We start from the raw sequence: 18,400 nt of genomic DNA on the forward strand, positions 1-18,400 counted from the left end.
TTCTTTTTTTTTTTTGACTGCTCATTCAATGTGTCTGCCAGTGTGCTAAACACCTCACCTTCTATCTTGAATCTATTCTATACAACTGTACGGAGCAGGGTTCACCAGGAGCCCCATTTTACACATGAGAGACAAGAAAGCCTGAGTAATTTTCCCAAGGACACCAGCTACTAAGAGGAAGAATGTAAGACCTGAAGAGAAGTCTATTCAATTCCCTGCTCCACTGTAAGTCAGAGGTGTGGGCTGTGTTAGTAAGATGCTAAAGAGAGAAAGTGCCAGGTACCTTAAGGTAGTTGTCCATGTGGAGGGCTTTGCAATATGCATTTGATTTTTGTTGTTGTTGTTGTTTTGTTTTGTTTTTTTGCAAATGTAGAGGTACACAGAATAGAAATGCCTAGGCCTTACCCCAGACCTGTTAAATCTGTTTCTGAGGGTGGAGTTTGGTCACTCACGTTTTTTATCAGTTCCCTCAGTAATTCCAATGGGCAGCCATGGCTAAGAATCCCTGTTCTATGCTCCAGCAGGAGGAGGAAAGCAGGGAGAGGAAAATCCTTTTTAGACTTTTGAGGCCTTAGAGCAAGGCTTAGCGGGAAGGGAACATTCTGGGAAGCTGAAGAGGGGAAAAGACACCCCCTCTCACCTGATAATGCATCAGTGTGTTGAGCCGCTTCCAGTCACCCTCAATCTTGGTGGTGATGTCCTCATCTTGCAGCACGACCCGGGCGATCCGGCCTTGGCGCCACTCTGGGTGGAGGGGGTGGTGCAGGGAGCGGCGTGAGAGGGATGAGGGCTGTGAGCCAGTGTCTCCCGATTGCACCTTCTCTAGGGACCTGGCAACCCGGCCCCCTCAAGCTGGTACCAATAACAGAGGCTAGAGACATCTAGGGCTCCATGGGCCCAGGCAGCAGAGGAAACACGTAGACCTCCCCAGAGACAGCCACATCTGAACAGGCAGCGCTCAAAGCGGGAAGCATTTCACACGGGCCTCAGCTGGCCAGGACACAGTCATGCCCCTGCAAGGGTTGTGTGCATGGCAGCTTCCCTTCCTTCACCTCTCAACCCCTGCCCTCACACTCTGAGTCCAGGTTTCCTACCCAAGTCCATGTCCACTGCCCTCGGCCGCTGGGAATAGGGCACATTCTTATACACGGCATCAAGAATCTTCTCCTTGACCTGTGTGATGGTGTCACAGTTTAACACCTTCACTGGGATCTCTGGACTGTTCTCGTTGTCAGGGTTGACGCAGTTCAGGATCTACAAGTAGGGGACAGAGGGTGAGCAGGACAGGAGTTGAAGGAGTAGTTTGAGGGAGAGGGTCAGGACCTCAGAATCTTCTTTTTCCAAAGTTCACCCTCCTTATAGGGGAAATAAGGGTACTTTTCTGGTCTGTGACTCAGTTTCCCTCACCTTCATAACATCTGCCAAATGAGAGTCTGAGTCATTGTGTCCAATTCTTCTTTCTCAAAGCACCAGGACTCTACTTTCTAGCTCCTGGACAGCTTAGGGGAGACTATAGTCCTGGAATGAGGCACCCTCAGTGTTTAGAGATGGCTCTACATGTATCAGAGACTAGTCATGCACTTCCCCAAAGCCTCTATGTTAGGAACCAACATACATCTTTCTCATAATACCAATTACCCAATAACTAATGATGGGTGAACTTTTTTCTCCCCCAATATTATCTAGGATAAACCGAGGCATAGAGTGCTTGGGATGGGTGGGCGGGCCTGCCACCTTGCTCTTGGTACACTTAGTTGTCCTTTGGGCTCACCCCAGACCAGCCTCCCATCCTCTTTATTGACCCCCTAGACTGCTTTTATGGACAGAAGGCAGAGCAAGGGGCAGAAGTAGAAGATACACAGGCGGGCCCGGAGCTTCCGGCTTCCTCACCAGGGTCTTGTACTCGATCTGCTGCCGGATGAGCTTGTCCTCGCTCAGGGAGTAGCGGGCCTCGCCCGTGATGGCATCAATGGGGCCCTTCTCCATCTGCTGCTTGATGGCACAGTATAGCATGAAGAGTGGCTCCCCTGCGCACTCCTGTGGGCACAGACAGGGCAGGAGGTGTGGGCACGGCCTCCTCAGGTTTGTACGTTTTCCCTTTCCTCTCTCGGAGCGAGGCCAGTGGAAGGAAGGGCTTTAGCACAGCCAGTCCAGGTTCCTGCTCCCGAGGGAGGGGGTCCCCATGCAGCCCTGTGGCCAGGATCTAAGCAGCAGTGCCATCCTGCCCTGGACGCTAGGCCCCGTCTCACTCCCTTTCTCACCTTTAGGAACTTGTGCAGGAGGAAGGCGAACCAATTGGTCAGCATCTTTTCAGCCACAGACTCTGTCCTGGGGAAGGGACAAAGGGTAAGGGGCAGTCCTTCACAGAGGGGTCTCCGTGGTGGGGCCTGGGCTTGCCATGAGGTCTCCCAAGAGAACAATGGAGCATGGGAGAACGCAGGGCGGGAGTCAGGACACCTGGGTCCCAGCCCAGCTCACCCAGTAACTAGACTGTGACCTGGGGGTAGGGGTGGCTTCTTTCTGGGCCTCAATTTCCTATGAAAATGGAGAGGTTGGCCTTTTCAGCCCTGATGGTCCGTGGTGCTCTGAACTTTGGCTGCATCTGAGACAGGGTCTGTGGATAAAGGCACCTCACTATCCCACAGGGCTATAAAGAACCGGTTCTCCCAACTCACTTCTGGCCTCAGGGTGATAACTAGAGAGTTTCCCAGTCCCTCTGGGCTTTCTTGCATGTGTGAGTACCCTGTTTTGCCTATCTGGAAGGTGCCTGGTCCCTTCCCCTCCAAAAACACTCAAGGTTAGACTTCCTTGGGTTCAAATCCTGATTCTGCCATACGTTGGCTGTGTGACCTTGGGCAAGTCATTTAACCTCTCTGGTTTCAGTATTCCTATCACTAAATGGAGACAGTCATAATAACATCCAACCCCAGTGGTTGTTGTCAGGGTTGAATGAGTTAATATTTGTAAAGTGCTAAGAAAAGTGCCTGGCACCTGCTAAGCACTATCCATTAGCTGTCATTATTGCTGTCATGTGGGGTCTTGGATCCCAGCCCTCAGGTAGAGAGCAGTGCTTAAGTGTTTTGCCAACAGGGGATTTGCTCATGCAAGGGCTGGCCCCCCTCCCCTTCCCATCCCAGGGCTACAGATCTGGGGATTTGGGAAGGAACAAAGCGGCTGTGACAGACCCTCAGTGAAGGGGATGCCGGAGGGGTATTTTAACTCCCTGCACGTGGTGCAAATTATATCCTCTGGTTGCAGTAAATCCCAGGCATTTGCCAGGGCTGCTCAGCAATCTGGGCCTGGGAGAGAGTGACAATGGCAGAAAAAATTGTAGCTTTCTCCCGTGGCTCCTCCCAGCACCCTCTCCCTGCATTGTGCTTGAGATTAGCTCTAATTTAAATACAACAGTTCTTAATGAGAGTTTCTAATGCTCAGATTGGCAGGATGGGGGCTCAGTACTCATAAAGCAAAGCCATTCTTCCTCCCTCCTCACCCCACGTGGGGCCTGGAAGCCTGAGACCTTGCTAGAGGAAGGCTAAAGAGGAGGGGTGGTGAACGGAGGTGCAGCCCTCCAGCCCCTGCTGCCCAGAGGACTCCAAAGCTGTGCCCGGCTCCCCACGGCCTCTAGAGAGGGTGGGCTCAGGGGATACTGAGGTCTCCAACCCTCTCCCCTGCCAGGAAAAATGCAGTGGGCATGTGTAGTGGATGCTGTGATTCAGATCCAGGAAGCTGAGCTCAGAAGGCACGGCCTTCTAGGCTGTCCAAATCCCTAGCTCAGTGCTGCGCAATAGAACCTTCTGCGATAATGGGAATGTTCTCTATCTGTGCGGTCCCGTATGGTGGCCACTAGCTGCAATGTGGCAACCAAGCACTTAGAAAGCGGCTAGGTGCTAGGGCAATGGAGGAGCTGGATTTTACATTCTATTTCATTTTAATTTGTAGCAGCTACCTGTGGCTAGGGGCCGCTGTGCCGGACAGCACAGCTCTAGAGGCACCGGGAGGAAGAGACTGTGAGATAGGAATTATTTTTCTCATTTTGTCTAGGAGGAAACTAAACAACAGAGTGGTTACAACACTGGCCAGAAATCACAGAGCTAGCAGGAGGCAGAGCTGGGACTCCAGCTGAGATCCGAGCAAGGGTCTGAGCTCATCCATCACACCTGGGTGACTTCAGACTCTGTAGTCTCCCTGGGCTGAGGGAAAGTCAGATTCTGCCCTGCAGAGACGTGAGGACACAGGCTGCTCTGAATGGGTGCCCCTTCTGGGGAGTGGGCCTTCTCATGCTGCTTGTGGGGCCTGCTATAATGAGGTGCTCTGTCCAGGTTCAGACTCCTGCCACCCTCTCCACCCACTGCTGCGGGCCAGACCTCCGGAGTAGCAGCTTGGGGTGGTTCTTGTTCTCCAGGTTCTTATCGATGAGGTCAGAGAGCAGCTGCTTGAGGACATCAGTGGCATATTCCAGGCGGCCCTGCAGGCCGGTCATGATGAGCGAAGCCACGTTGCCCCGGTCGCGCATGGAGAAACTGCGCTGCAGCTCCAGGGTGCGGATGAAGGTCAGCAGGAACACCTTGTTGTTGATGAGCTGGGCAAAGAGCTTCAGGGCCTTCTCCACGTGCTGCTGCCCGTTTCCTTGTACCTGGGGTGGGGTGTGGTGGAGGCGACGCCCTCAGAGGACAGGCATCGGGCCTCCTACCTGAGGGTCTCACTGAGGGCCTGCTGGCGATGACACTAGCTGTAGGACCCTATGTTTGAGGCCTATAACCAACCCCACCCCATTCCACTCACCCGTGATGATGTAGGAACAGCTGGCTCTAAGGTCGACAGTCTGCTCTGACCTTGCACTGGGCCGGGGAGGCTGGGCTCCATGCGGAGCTCTCAGAGGGGAGGCTGCCTGATTTTCCCAAGGATAGAATAGGAGATGCCCCCTCAAACTTCTTCAGTTTACTAGTCTCCCCTTAATCTCCTCTGCCTGATTTATTATCTTTAGTAAAACAAACCAACAAATGAACAAACAAACCTCATAGAATCCTGTGTCTTTCTTTAAGCCATCTTAAATCCATTTTAGAATGAGGCAGGATCTTAGTTAATTAGTTCAGTCATTAATTAAAAAATGACAAACAATGAGCTTTACCCTGGAACCATCCCAAGGAGCCTGGGTGCCCCCTCAGCCGTAACCTTCCTGATAGCTCTGTTGCTGAGATGCTGTTACAAACTACTGACCCCTCTTCCCTGCTAACCTTACTCAGTACTGCTGAGTCTCATCTGGATTTCCTAGGATACCCTGGGCCTGCATCCCTGCTGGGTGGCTGGGCCCAGGAGGCAGGCATTACCTCCAGCTCCCGCAGGACGGGGTGGTCCTCGATGCCCGGGAACAGGACTCGCATAGCGTAGGTACGATAGTCCAGGTAAGGGATTCCTGAGCGGTCCAGGTCACTGGTCAACTCATTGATATCCGTCTGGAGCTCAGCAAAAGCTATGAGAATAAGCAGACGGAGAGGCTCGTGGGGAAGCCCCAGTCGGGGGAGGAGAAAGAGGGAGAAGAAGTTTGCAAAGGACGAGGGGAGGACCTTTTGTAGAGACTCTGAGGATTACGGGAGTGTGTCTCCAGAGGGCGGGGCTACTCCCAGCTGTTTTTAGGTGGTGGGGAAATGGGTGATTTTTATGTTATTTTCTCCTCTATACTTATCTATAATTTCAAATTTTCTCTTTACATATTACAAGTGTAGTTTCAACAAGGAAAAAAAAGTATCATGATTGGGCCGTTTAGTAAAGATCACGGAGATGCTGGAGGCAGGTGAGAGACCATGGCTGAGGGGGTCCAGCAAAGACCAGAACAGGCAAAGTGCTGCCCTTTTCTAATCAAGGTAATAAATCAAGATGCAAAAGCCTAGGGGAGGTCTGGTCATGAGACGCTCAGCTGAGAGCCGAGTTTGGGAAGGCAAGGGCTTCAGAAGCCTCACCTTGGTGGTGGCACACCTGTCTTCCTGGCTCCTTCCTCTGCCAAACTCACCAGCCCTGTTGCCAGGAGGAACCTTGGCTCCACATGTCCTATTTCCCAGCCCAGCTCTTCCCTGTCATCCAGCAGAGGGCTTGTTTCTGATCTTGACATTTGCAGCAAAAGGAGAAATGTTTTCATTCCTAATTGAGCTGTTTACCCAGAGAGCCTGCCAGGTCCTCAGCCTGAGAGGACGCCAGGTACACTCGTCACCTCGAGGCTGTGGTTGCGTGGGACATGGGAGAAAACACAATCTGCACTCCCACACACGTCCACAGCCAAGGACACCAGCAAGTGGCGGCCTTCAGAGCGCTCAGCCTGCAGCACTGATGGAAAACAAACCCTGGGGGAGATGAGGCAGGTGCTTGTCTGCCTTTGCTGCCGCTGCTCCCACGTGCTGCGAAGACAGTGTGCAGAAAAACAAGAGCTGGACACTCCCATGGGGGATCTAGAGTCTGGGGCTGTGGAGCCTGGGGACTCTGACTGTGGGGACATTGAGGCCCTGAGAGGGAGAAAGTGTTTGCCAGATTGTGGGATGGGTCAGGGCAAAGAAGGGACTAGAACAATGCAATTGGACCTGGGTCCTCATGCAGTGGGCATTCTTCATTGGACATCTCTGACCCTATAAGCAAAAGAAGTTCTGGGAAAACAGGGGTGAAAGTGGAATGCAGAGGCATGGCTGGCAGCGATGGGAGTAAAGATAGGAGTTGTCTGCAGGGAGAAGGGCAATAAGGCAGGTGGAGAAAGAGGGACCCAGCAAATGAGGGTGTGCTTCCACTAACCTTCCTTGCACTCCAAGGCCACACGGGACTCCAGATTGTCCATCTGCATTTGCAGCCGCTTGAGAGTGAGGTCATTTTCTCGAGACTTGCGCTTGTAGGCAATGAGGACGATGATGACGATGATGAGGAGGAGGCTGCCGCCGGCCGCGATGCTGACGATGGCTGGCAGGGTCAGCAAGCTGTCTGAGATGACACTCACCGAGCCAGGCGAGAACACCATCCCGCCCACGTGAACCTGTGCATTGTACACATACAGACGCACATGGATGCACACAGGTGTAGAGCCCGGGCATGCCAGCAGATCCTTACAGTGCGAGGAAGGACATGACAGACCACAACCACACAGTGCAGCTCTAGATAAAAAGCAATTTCCTGCCTCGGCATCTGCCTTTCTTTTCTTGTGTTCTCAGCTTATACCCAATTTGATGTAGGACCCAGAGATGAGGAGATATGGAGGGGGTGAGTCAGGCAACGAGACAGAAGAGAGCCTTTCCTTAGGACAGATCACACATGCACCACGAGGCGGGAAGGAGGCATTACAGACGCAGGGCTCACTCACCATGACCTTGTGCTGCCCGGTGAGGTTGGGAGGCTCGCAGAGAAGCTGGGTCTCAGATACGGTGACAGCACAAGGGGTCTCTCCGATGAGCACAGTGTAGTTGAGTTTGGCCCCTCCAGAGGCAGGAGGGCAGAGGTTTTTGCCCTGTAGAGAATAGCAGTCTTTATAGGCATAATTGACACATGCACGCACAAGTTAATTGCCTACTTAAAAAGAGATTAAGGAGACGGGGAAGGGCAGCAGTGCAAAAACCAGGAAATGACTCCTTGGCAAGTTTTTGTGGAGGGGACTTCTAACAGCCATGATCTAGAGAGAAAGAGAGAAAACAGACGCAGGAGAGAATGAAAATGAAGAAGAGAGTGGGAAAAATGCAGAGGAGACAAAACACTAAACAAGAGAAAATTTTGGGGGAGGATGCATGGGATTTCACGAAAGTAGTGGGGCAACAAATCACTTGGATGGACAGTGCCAGGGACTGTGACCTCTGGAAATGTGTGTGTGGGCTCCTGTGGCCACAGAGTGGACAGAAAAGGAAACAGTTACTCCCAACTCACTGCAGTACCTCTGGTTCCCAAAGCTCACAAGAACTAACAGAAATATTCTAAAGTATTTCTTAAGAAGCCTGGGTGCAAGCTATATCGCCTGATGGGTCGATATCTACCCATGAGCTCCTTCTGTAGGAAGGAGACAGCTTTGCAAGTTCAATTGCATAGAAAGGAGAGCCAGAAAGAAAGAAAGTCAGGCCAGGAGCGAGGGGCGCCCTCTGGCATTGCTGCCCCTGGTGGCACTGCCCTCTGGCGGGCACTCCTACCTTCAGAATGATGGGCGATCCTGGCTTTTGATCCAAGACTCCAGTAGGGCTAAGCAGTTCAAAGGTCGGGTTGGGGTAGTAGATAAACTTGGTGTCGTTGTAAATTAGCAAGGATTGGACATTGTTAAAGACAAATCCAAACTCATCTGGGCGTTCCACAGTGTCCAGGCCAGGGCGGTAGTCCGTGGTCAGAGAGGGTGCCAGGCAGGTGAGGGTGGTTGTGTTCACAACTTTACACACCTAAGAGATCCAGAGCGCAGCATTCACACACGGAGTGCCTGGCACAGAGCCCAGGGGCCCACAGCCGCTCTCCCACCCTCTCTCTGCTTTTGTGCCTCGTCACTGGGTTTACTTGCTTGTCTCCATTCCATGGGAAAGCCCTCCAGGAAAGGGCAGTGAAATTTTGGGGGAGTGGGGGGCATTTTAGCTTCTTCATTAATTCATTCACCAACGCTATTTGGGCATCTAGTTTCTAGTTTGTGCTGGCACTGTGCTAGGAGGTGGGGCTATAGAGCGGCAGACACAGTCTGGAGGGAAGACAAAGAAGCATTACAATCTAGTCCTGGAAGAGGGCCTGGGGCATGGGGGGCACACAGCACTGTTGGATGCATGCAGAGATGTGAAAAATAAATGCCCTGGTAGGGAAGTACCAGCTACTCTAGGAGTGTCTGTGTGTGTGCATGAGTGTGTGTGTGTGTGTGTATGTGTGTGTGCATGGCCTGAAGCAGGGTAGGAGTGACTCATGGAAGTTTTCCCATGGAAGAAATGAATGAAATTTAATCTGAAGAATGAGTAGGACTTACCTAGATAAGGAGAGGGAGGGGGAAGGGAACAAGTTCCAAGCAGAGGGAACAGCACCAAAAGGCCTGGGGACAAGGGAGCATGGGATGTTTGAGAAAAAAGTAGGACAGAACAGCATAGTGTGTGTGTGTGTGTGTGTGTGTGTGTGTGTGTGTGTGTGTGTGTAGAGTGTGGAGCAGGAAGTGGTACGAGATGAGCACTTTGCTCAGTATGTAGTAGGTGTTCAGTTAATGTTGATTGAATACTGATGAAAAATAGGATTCTGCAACTCTCTAAATGTTTTTTGTTTTTTTGTTTTTTGAGATGGAGTCTTGTTCTGTTGCCCAGGCTGGAGTGCAGTGGTGCGATCTCAGCTCACTGCAGCCTCCGCCTCCCGGGTTCCAGTGATTCTCCTGCCTCAGCTTCCTGAGTAGTTGGGATTACAGGCACGTGCCACCACGCCCAGCTAATTTTTGTATTTTTAGTAGAGACAGGGTTTCACCATGTTTGCCAGGCTGGTCCTGAACTCCTAACCTCAGGTGATCCGCCCGCTTCGGCCTCCCAAAGTGCTAGGATTACAGGCCTGAGCCACTGGGCCCAGCCTTCTTCAAATGTTTTATGTAGGACCTCTCTCTCTTCTCTAACCAAGTGTCCCCTAACCCTGCACTGGGACAGAAGCTTGGTTTTGACACAGAGTTCATGATATCTTTTTTCTCTTGGAGGTCTCTGGTGCCAACTAAAATCCTGGCTGGGCTGGTCCAGTCCCTCCTTAGCATGAGCTGTGCCATTCTCTCCTGTGGAGGTTTAGTTCTGGGGCTGCCCAAGACAGCAGCCAGACTGCAGAAACCACTAAAGGGCCCACGTGGGGCTTGGGAAGAAAAACCCAGACTCCTACTCCCTCTCTGCCTGGCTCCCACCCAGCACAGCTCAGTTTCAGCTTTGGGAGCAGTGGGGTCCCGGCAACAGCCAGGGCATCTCTGAGAACTCAGACTGCTCAAGTACACACTGTCCTGGCAGGTCCACACATGTTATGCGTCTGGCCAACATACACACACACGAGCTTCATGTTCAGAAAACAAGACTGTGTGTGAAATTGCAAAAAAAGCTGACACTTGCATAGAGATTATGTCAGAGCTTCAAGTCCAAGTCTTAACCCTTCCTTTCCAAAGGGAATTTAAGAGTTTAAACAAAGCGGCTCACTGCGGCCTTTATGCTGTAGTGGGAGGGAGTACACATTCCTGCCCTTTTTGTGGTGCAATTCAGCAGCCCCTTATGAACCTAATGCCCCTTTCATGTTCCAGCAGGGTACAATGAGGCATGGGGAGGTTGAGGGGTGTGGTGAAATGGGTACAGCTGAGCCAGGGGGTCCCAATTCCTGGGTTCTGCAAGAAGACACCGAGCCTTGGTGAGCCTCACCCCAACATCTTCCTCTCTGCTGGTCCCAGTCTAGCTTCCCTAGACCAGGCTCCTCTATGAATAAGCAAATCACTCCCAAGCAAGAGGCCTCTGGACGCTGCCTGCCCCGTGCTGCGTCGGCACTTTTGTTTGCCAAACATTCCTCTGGGTTTGGCGGCTTCACTCTGGCCCTCCTAGCTATCCACTGGGGCAGCTTCAAAACCCAAAGATGAGGGGTAGGCCCAGGTGTGCTGAGGATGAGCTGGGGCCCAACCAGGCAGGGCTTCAGGGGCAAAGTGCCTCTCTCCTACCATTCCTGAAAGCAGAAGCACAGGGCAGGGGTTCTGAGCCTCCCATTCTGGAGCCAGCTGATGGAAATCTACATTCCTGCATCCTTCCCTCTGGGTCTGCCAGCCTGTAGATACCAGGCAGGTCACCACTGAAACTGAGGGCCCCCAGCTCCCCAGAGGGCAGAACTGCTTCTTAAGTCCTTGGAACATTGAGATCATGGTGCATGGGGCTGGAGGAAGCGCTGAGAACATTCCTGCCCAGTACTGTAAATGAGTCCTGGTGAGGGAGCAGGGGGCTTGGGACCTGAGTCTTTGGCCACAGGTGTCAGGTGTGGGGAAGGGGAGGGGCTTCCCAGCCCAGGCTTCTCTTCAATGGCTTCCTGAGGACTAAGGCTGAAGCCTTTGGAGGTCACGTACTCACTCTCCAGAATTTTCTCTGGACTGTATTAATTACGTCTTTTATTTTCTGTATGCTGATGCTTTGACATCTGGGGCCTTGCTGACTGGGGAGGGAATGTCCCTCCCAGGGCAAAATCCTAGAGATAGCAAATAACTTGCCTGTGAGCGTGCCTTTCATATGCACGAACCAATCCAGACCCCACAGCTCAACTGCCCCTTTCCACACTATCCTCATGCCCTCATCATTCTGGGACCAGGCACCAAACATCTAGGGACAGCCCTGGGCCCCAGAGCCTGCTAAAATGACTCAAACTAGCTGATCCTAAACTTGCTTACCCTGCTATGCCTGTTCCTTCCTGCAGAAACCACATAAAGACTCTTGCCACGGTTTCTCCCTCCGCCTCCAGGCAGACCAACCCTGGTGCTTCCCCCTGTGACCCCTGGGGCATGGACTTCCCTCTTCTCTTGGGATTTGATCTATGAGTAGAACAAGTTATACTCTGGCCTTGCCATACCTGAATAACAATAAAACCTATATTTTAAAACATGTACCTAATTTGCTTGCTTTTTTTTTTTTTTTAAATCCTTCCTGGGTGTGAACTTACCATTCTTGTTCCCATACCTCACCCTAGACTCTGGAGTTACCTGGGAGTTTCTGGGGACCCTGAGCTTCAGTCTGGAAATGGAGTGGGGGCCTAGGCTCTTTTACCCATGGATCAAGTTCTACACCTGGCAGAAGGAGGCATGCGCTCACCTAGCCCAAAAAGGAGTGACCATGGTGGATACTGAAGGTGTGGTACAAGTGCTCCCCAACATCTCCAGCAGGATGGTAATGTCAAGCCCACCAGCATTTCATGTGGCCTAGTTACGAAGAGTCTGGATGTTTGGGATCCACCTTGGCCCTTCCACCAGTCACCTGTATGATTGGGGGCAAGTCATTTAACCTTTCTGGACTTAGTTTCCTCTGCTACACAATGAAGGGGTTGCATCAGATGATCCCTGAGACCTTTCTATATCTAACCTTCTAACACTCTGTCATTTTGTGTATCTCTGTGTTTCTTATGGAAGCCTCAAGTACCCTGGAAATGTGTCAGGGGTAAGAGGGGAGACATAACACCATCTTCTCCATCTCCATCTTAGTCTAGTCAAGCCCCTGAAGGTCAAAGCAGTAATGATAGTAATTTCTATGAAAAATAATGGCCATAGTAGCATCTGCTATAATATAATTACAAATACAATCATGTTTCAAAAAATATTGGCTGAAAGAGTGAGATGGAGCCTAGAAAAATGATAAAAAATTGACAACATATCAGACATTCTATCCCTACGATACAGACAACTTTTTAAAAATTATAAAAATTACATGGCTATGCATGGAAGACTAATATAAAATGTCCAAACTTATCATCTTAGCAACCTAGGTGGAGTTATCTGATGCAGTGACTAGCATTTATCAACTGCCAACCTTATGCCAGCCACGGGCTGGCAGGTTATGAAGCTGAGGCAGGTCTGCTTGTCACCATTCATAGCTGAGAGGTGGAGGATCCGGAGGTTAAATGACTTGACCATGCTTGTACAGCTAATAGATGGCAGAACCCTGCTTCCTCTCCAGACATGTCTGAATCTGGAGCCAGAATTTCTCCAACCACTTCCAATATGGGTTTTCACTGGACCTCAAAGTCAACCTGTCATAAAACAGGAGTCCTTTTGTGCTGTATCATAAACTCAGAAGCCAGTACTTTGATACACTCACTATATCACCTTCTGACAAGAAATTGTACTGTCATTATAATATAAAAATCATTGTAGGGCTGAATATGGTGGCCCATGCCTATAATCCCAGCACTTTGGGAGGCCAAGGCGGGAGGATCACTTGAGCCCAGGAGTTTGAGACCAGCCTGGGCAAAAGAGAGAGACCTCATCTCTAAAATAATAATAATAATAAACTAGCCAAGCATGCGCCTGTGGTCCTAGCTACTCAGGAGGTTGAGGCGGGAGGATCTCTTGAGCCCGGGAGGTCAAGGCTGCAGTGAGCTGTGGTTGCACCACTGCACTCCAGCCTAGGTGACAGGGTGAGGCCATGTCTTAAAAAAAAAAAAATTATAAGGTTTAGGTATTTGGACCATGATTCCAGGCTCAGAGTCTTAAGCCAGTTTTCCTCTCCAGTATTCAGAGGCTCCAGTGCCTAACCCAGAGCTCATCCCATTGCAAAACATCAACACAGAGCTGTGTTTACCAAAGGCTGGGGCAGACCAACAGTTACTCACATTGACAGATTCTTTGCCATTGAATTTGACTCGGATCCTTGGCTCCTGAATGACATCCAGGTTGAAGCCTGTGATGGTCAGGGGTGTGTGGCCACTGAAAACAGGCAGAGGCTCGGTTAGGTAAAAAACCCCCTCAAATCTGGCATGGTGAACCTCCACCTTAGGGATCCCTCTCATGAGCCAGACTTGGGCTGCAGGGATCATGCTGGGTGGCTTCCAGGTGCATCCCTCCCACCTTCCACCTCACCTGGCAATGCTCCACTCTGGCTCGATGCGCTGGACCCGAGGGTCATCTATGTACTCAAACTGCAGGTTGCTATCCACATGGGCTCGGTCGACACTCACAGAAACAGGGACCGGGCCAAGGCCATTGGATGATGGGGGTGAGACACACACGATCTCACTCATTGACCTCCTGACAGGGAGACAGCAGGAGGGTTGAGAAGAAAGGCATGGGCAACAAGAGGTGCCCACTGGCTTGACAAGGGGCTTTCCTTGGTCTGCGGGTAAGGCCACAGAAGTGTTCTCTCATCCTTTTATATTCTACAACAATGGAACACATCCCGCATCAGTATAGATCAGTGCCCCAGTGGATTAGGGAGGCAGCAAATTGGAGACGGGGGTTTGAAAATGAGGGGCAGGGATAGGGTTTCATGGGCTTCGGGGAAACTCCTTTTTTCTGGATTTTTCTAGAATGTAACTATTTAGTCAGTGCTTAGAATCTGGTCAGGCAGTCAACAAATATTCACTGAGCACCTACTGTACATAGCAGTGAATGCACAGTCCTTGCCCTTGTGGAATTTACGGTCCAAGGAGATTATCAGGTAGATAATCCTGGGCAAACTGGGTTCTCATCCATGGATTCTTTCCAAATTCTCTACATCTTCAGGGCTAGGGGAGTGCTGGCAAATGGTAGGTGTTCAATTTTTTATGTACAGAGGATTCCCTAAGCATAAGTCTGTGCTTTCTAAGAACTGAGGCTATGCAATCTCCGTGTTTTTCAAGTCACCATAGTGAGGACTCAATGAATGCTTGATCCTAGTGGTGACTGGGGAGCTCCTAGGAGCCTCCTCCATCTGGTGTTCTCATGGCCCTCACTTCTCATTATTTTTAGAAGTATCCAGCCCCTTTGATATACGGGATATAAACTGACAAGTGGCATATATTTCTCACAGTGACCGGTATGGTATTTGGGTCTAGGTGTAGCAAATAACATGGAGGTGATGGGGCAGGCCTATGAATGAACATGCACAGTAACATGTGAACAGCACATGTCCCAGATGTGCAGTCTTCTGGTGGCCCTTCAAGTTTATCTCACCCGTAGAACTCGCAGGTCTGGTTGCCCAGGTAGACTGCCACGCTGCTCCCAGCCCCAAGGTAATGGCCGGTAATGGTCACCATAGTGCCTCCTGACTCGGGACCTCGGATTGGGTTGAGTGACAGCACAGAAGGGTTCTTTGGAAAGAAGCAGAGAAATGACTACAGCTTAGGTTTTCTCCAAAAGGATGGACCATGGTTAGATCTAAGGATGGGAGAGATTGTTTTCATTCTGGGCGTGGTGGTACTTGTCCTGTCCTTTTCAATCCTAAATGCTCTCTCTGCTTACCCCAGAGGTGAGACTCTTTCTAAGAATCATCTCTGGGCATGTCCGGGAAGGCAGAAGAGTCATGTGGGGTGAAATTAATTAACTCCCCAGAGTCTCATGCTCATAACAATGAAGGGAAAGCAGAGGTGACACTGACTAATCTATCAATTCGTTTACAAATTGAGAACAATTTGAAAATGCTTCTCTATCTAGAGCCTTTACTGATTTTTTGGGCACAAAATCGATAGGGCTGAATAAAGCATCCCTGCCTGGGTTGGGCCACCGAGAGGCTAAAGTCCTCCATTAATGGCCCATGCACATGCCCTTCTGTCCTTCCCTGAGCATAAGAAGGGCACAGCAGGGCACCTGGTGCAGAGAGCTGTCAGTAAATGTTAGGATGGCTTCTCAGACCCTCATCAGGAGGATGGCGCATCACTGGCTGGGGCTTTCTACTAAGCTCACTAAGTAGTAAAATTCAGCCTGAAGCTTAAAAGAATTGCTTAACCTAAAATGCATCAGGTGGCTGACCTGAATCAGAAAAGAATTGCTTCTGCCTGGAGGGCAGTGGAGTGGAGTGAATTGGAAAATGCATTTAACTGAGCAACTATACAGGCATGAATTCTAGTTTGCATCAGCCATTCATCCGCTGTGTGTCCTGAGGCAAGTTCTGAGATCATTCTTTACCCCTCTGTCAAGTGAGGAGGGTGGGCTAGGTTATCTCTAAAGCCCCTCTCCGCTCTGACTTGCTCCAGATTGTCAGAGTACTGACATTCTCCCCAGCTAGTTCTCCTGTGTTTGCTTCTCACACAAATGCCCACTGCCCCTGCCCTGGGTAAGAGATGGAGTAGGTTGGCTGCAGATAGGGCAAGGTACTGTCCAGTCTGAGAGAGGAGAGTATAAGAAAAAGGTGGAGATGCCAAGATAAGAAGGCAGAGGCTAGAAAACCTGAAACAATCAGCAAAATGCTTTACAGAAAATAGAATTTTGTGCTCCAAAGATTTTTTAAAACTCTCAGCAAGGCTGGTTTGACCCCATCTGCTAGTGTTAATGCCTTTTAATGAAATATTCGATGTAGCAATGTAGGTGTCAGAAGAGAGACTTCGGGGCCGAAGAAGCCAAGTTACTGATTCAGTATGAATATAGCCCTGGGTGGCTCCAGGGCCCCAGAAGCAAGTTATTGATTCAGTATGAATAGAGTGCCATTACAGAAAGAAAGTCTTTGCAATTTGACTACCTGTTGCCTGCGCATAAAGAGATGTTTTCAGGTGTGACTGTGTGAATGTGTGCGTGTAACCACAGTAGCGAGTTACACATACAGAGTGACTCTGGTGGTCCTGTGCAGATACACATCCCTGCCAGATTTCAGTGACTCTTCTAAACTCCCACTTAAAATATCCTTGGCAGAAAACAAAGCATGCGGATAAATATAGACTTATTTAATTAGGTCCCTCAGGCTATGCATCCTCATTAGGCTAGAATTAGACTAAGATATTACACTGGTGGGACAAGAGGCAGTTCCTCCCCGCCCCCAGTCTAGGATCCACTTTCTAAGAAAGGCTGGATTTTGCCTTATTTAGAACTCTGACCTGTGGCCCTCTGGGACTCCCAAGACTCCACAGCTTTGTTTATCACATGCCCATCTCATCCCGGAAAGACAGGCTCTCAAAACAGCAAGACCAGAAGTTGCCTTATCTGGAGGGTCCTTTTCTCCTCCTTGGTCTGCAAGAAGCCTGGTGGTGGAGGGGAGTGGGGGCTTCCTGGGAGGAGTCTGGAGCATGTGTGTCTCCTCCCTGGGCACCTGCACCTGGCCCTGGACCCAGTACTCACCACGAAGGTGTACTGCTGATGGGACTTCGTCATGAACTCTGGCTTACACTCGCCAATACACAGGCGTACTGGCCCGGAGGTGGTTCCCACGAGGGCATGGCCCATCTCACAGACAATCCTGGGGAGAAAGCAAACCTTCTGGTGAGGGACTGGGCAAGGGCTGGCATCGCTGTTCACTTGCTCTCCCAGTCATGGCAAATGACTCATCACAGTCTTGCAATAATGCCAGACCAAGACTCAGCTTGGTCATCCATCTTGCTGTGTGACCTTGGGTACAGTGCTTTCCCTCTCTGGGCTTTGGTCTCATCTGCACAGTGTGAAGGTTGAACCGGATCATCTCTAAAGCCCTGTGTGCCTCTGATATGCTCTGCTGCCTAATTCTGTGGCCATTTCTGTGGTTCCCCATGCCTAGCGCAGTGCCTGGCATTGGGTAGGGACCCAGAATTTATAGAATAAAGGGAATGTCTAACAGAGATCTCGGGGCAGCAATCTAGCTGACGCTCTCTCCTATGTAACAAGCAGACATTGCTACACTCCCTAAAGGAGTGGGTGAGGGCATGTTTGCCAAGCCGATTCAGTTGTGGTTTGCTTCCTGTAGTGAGTTTTAAAAAGGGGAGAGATAATCTGGTGAGATAGTGAGAGCTCAGAGAAGGAGCTCCCTGCAGAACGGGAGGGGTGGAGTCCTGCCGCAGTAGGCAAAGGGGTGGGAGCTGGACAAGTTCATTAGGCCAGCAGGTGACACTGGCCTCTCACTTCATCAAGGGCTGAGCACACCCGGTGGGAGAGACAGTGACACGGCCCTGAGCGAAAGTCACGTCTCACACTAACGGGAGAGCTGGAGGGAAGAAGTGTGCAGCGCTCTCTCTCGAGCAGCCCAGATCAATACCCCTAGTGATGACTTCCCTGGCGCCTGAGAACAGTTACACAAGCACATTTAGATACTGGTTGCCTTAGCCACGGTACCCTTCTAGAAAGGGTGGGCAGCTGAGGATGGGGAGAGATGAAGGCATCAGGGACTTGGGGAAACTCTTGCCTGGAATGGTCGGGCCTGGGCTGGGTGGGAGAGGGCCCTGACAGCTCAGCTAAAAAGAGCTTGGGAATGGAGGGAAGGATTTTTCCTTTCCTCCCAACATCATTTCGGAGATTCAGAGCAGTCTGGTGCTCCTGGTAGGTTTGCTTAGTGGGGAGTCAGAAAAACAGACCCCATCTCCACTAATCCCCAGCATTATCCTGGCACGGTGGGGAAGATCCGTGTTTAACCGAGCGATGCTTATCTCAACAGCTTCTCTAGGAAGGAAGGTAACTAAACAGAGATTTCATTTCGATGTAATAAAACTTGCATTAAACAAATACGCTGCATGCTCACACACATGGCACGCCACTGATCTCCATCTCCTTCATAACAGTTAATCCCAAATAACTACTTTCACTCCTAGCGAATATTTACTTAACATGCAATAACTGTCTTATTACGTTTTAGCATATTAGATTCAACAAGAAAGTACTGAACGCATATGGAAGAATAGTCTCTCTTCCCTTTCTCTATGAATCAATCAATTAATTATAAACCCAAGGAAACATGATAGTGATGATCAATTAATATTTTACACGTAACTGTCTCCTGAAACCCCATTAGGGGAGCATTCGAGAAGCTCAATTTAAGGTACTGTGTGGTTATCTTCATGCTGCTACCTGCGTGTGGTTAACGAC

General features: G+C 50.4%; 1 protein-coding gene across 3 annotated transcripts in view; it reads right to left on the reverse strand.

The window, feature by feature from the left end:
- PLXNA2 (plexin A2) overlaps positions 1–18,400 on the reverse strand; it is a 222,143-nt gene that overhangs the window by 15,489 nt on the left and 188,254 nt on the right. For all 3 annotated transcript variants that reach the window (NM_025179.4, XM_005273164.4, XM_005273165.5), the window contains exons 14-26: positions 16,691–16,808; positions 14,597–14,733; positions 13,526–13,693; positions 13,279–13,372; positions 8,148–8,387; positions 7,337–7,480; positions 6,778–7,012; positions 5,331–5,473; positions 4,368–4,636; positions 2,262–2,328; positions 1,891–2,037; positions 1,095–1,254; positions 641–744 (exon numbers count right to left, since the gene is read on the reverse strand). In NM_025179.4, the coding sequence (NP_079455.3) occupies positions 641–744; positions 1,095–1,254; positions 1,891–2,037; positions 2,262–2,328; positions 4,368–4,636; positions 5,331–5,473; positions 6,778–7,012; positions 7,337–7,480; positions 8,148–8,387; positions 13,279–13,372; positions 13,526–13,693; positions 14,597–14,733; positions 16,691–16,808 (2,026 nt within the window). The remainder of the gene's footprint in view (positions 1–640; positions 745–1,094; positions 1,255–1,890; positions 2,038–2,261; positions 2,329–4,367; positions 4,637–5,330; positions 5,474–6,777; positions 7,013–7,336; positions 7,481–8,147; positions 8,388–13,278; positions 13,373–13,525; positions 13,694–14,596; positions 14,734–16,690; positions 16,809–18,400) is intronic.

This window comes from Homo sapiens, chromosome 1 (genome assembly GCF_000001405.40).
Source record: "Homo sapiens chromosome 1, GRCh38.p14 Primary Assembly".
Classification (NCBI taxonomy): domain Eukaryota; kingdom Metazoa; phylum Chordata; class Mammalia; order Primates; family Hominidae; genus Homo; species Homo sapiens.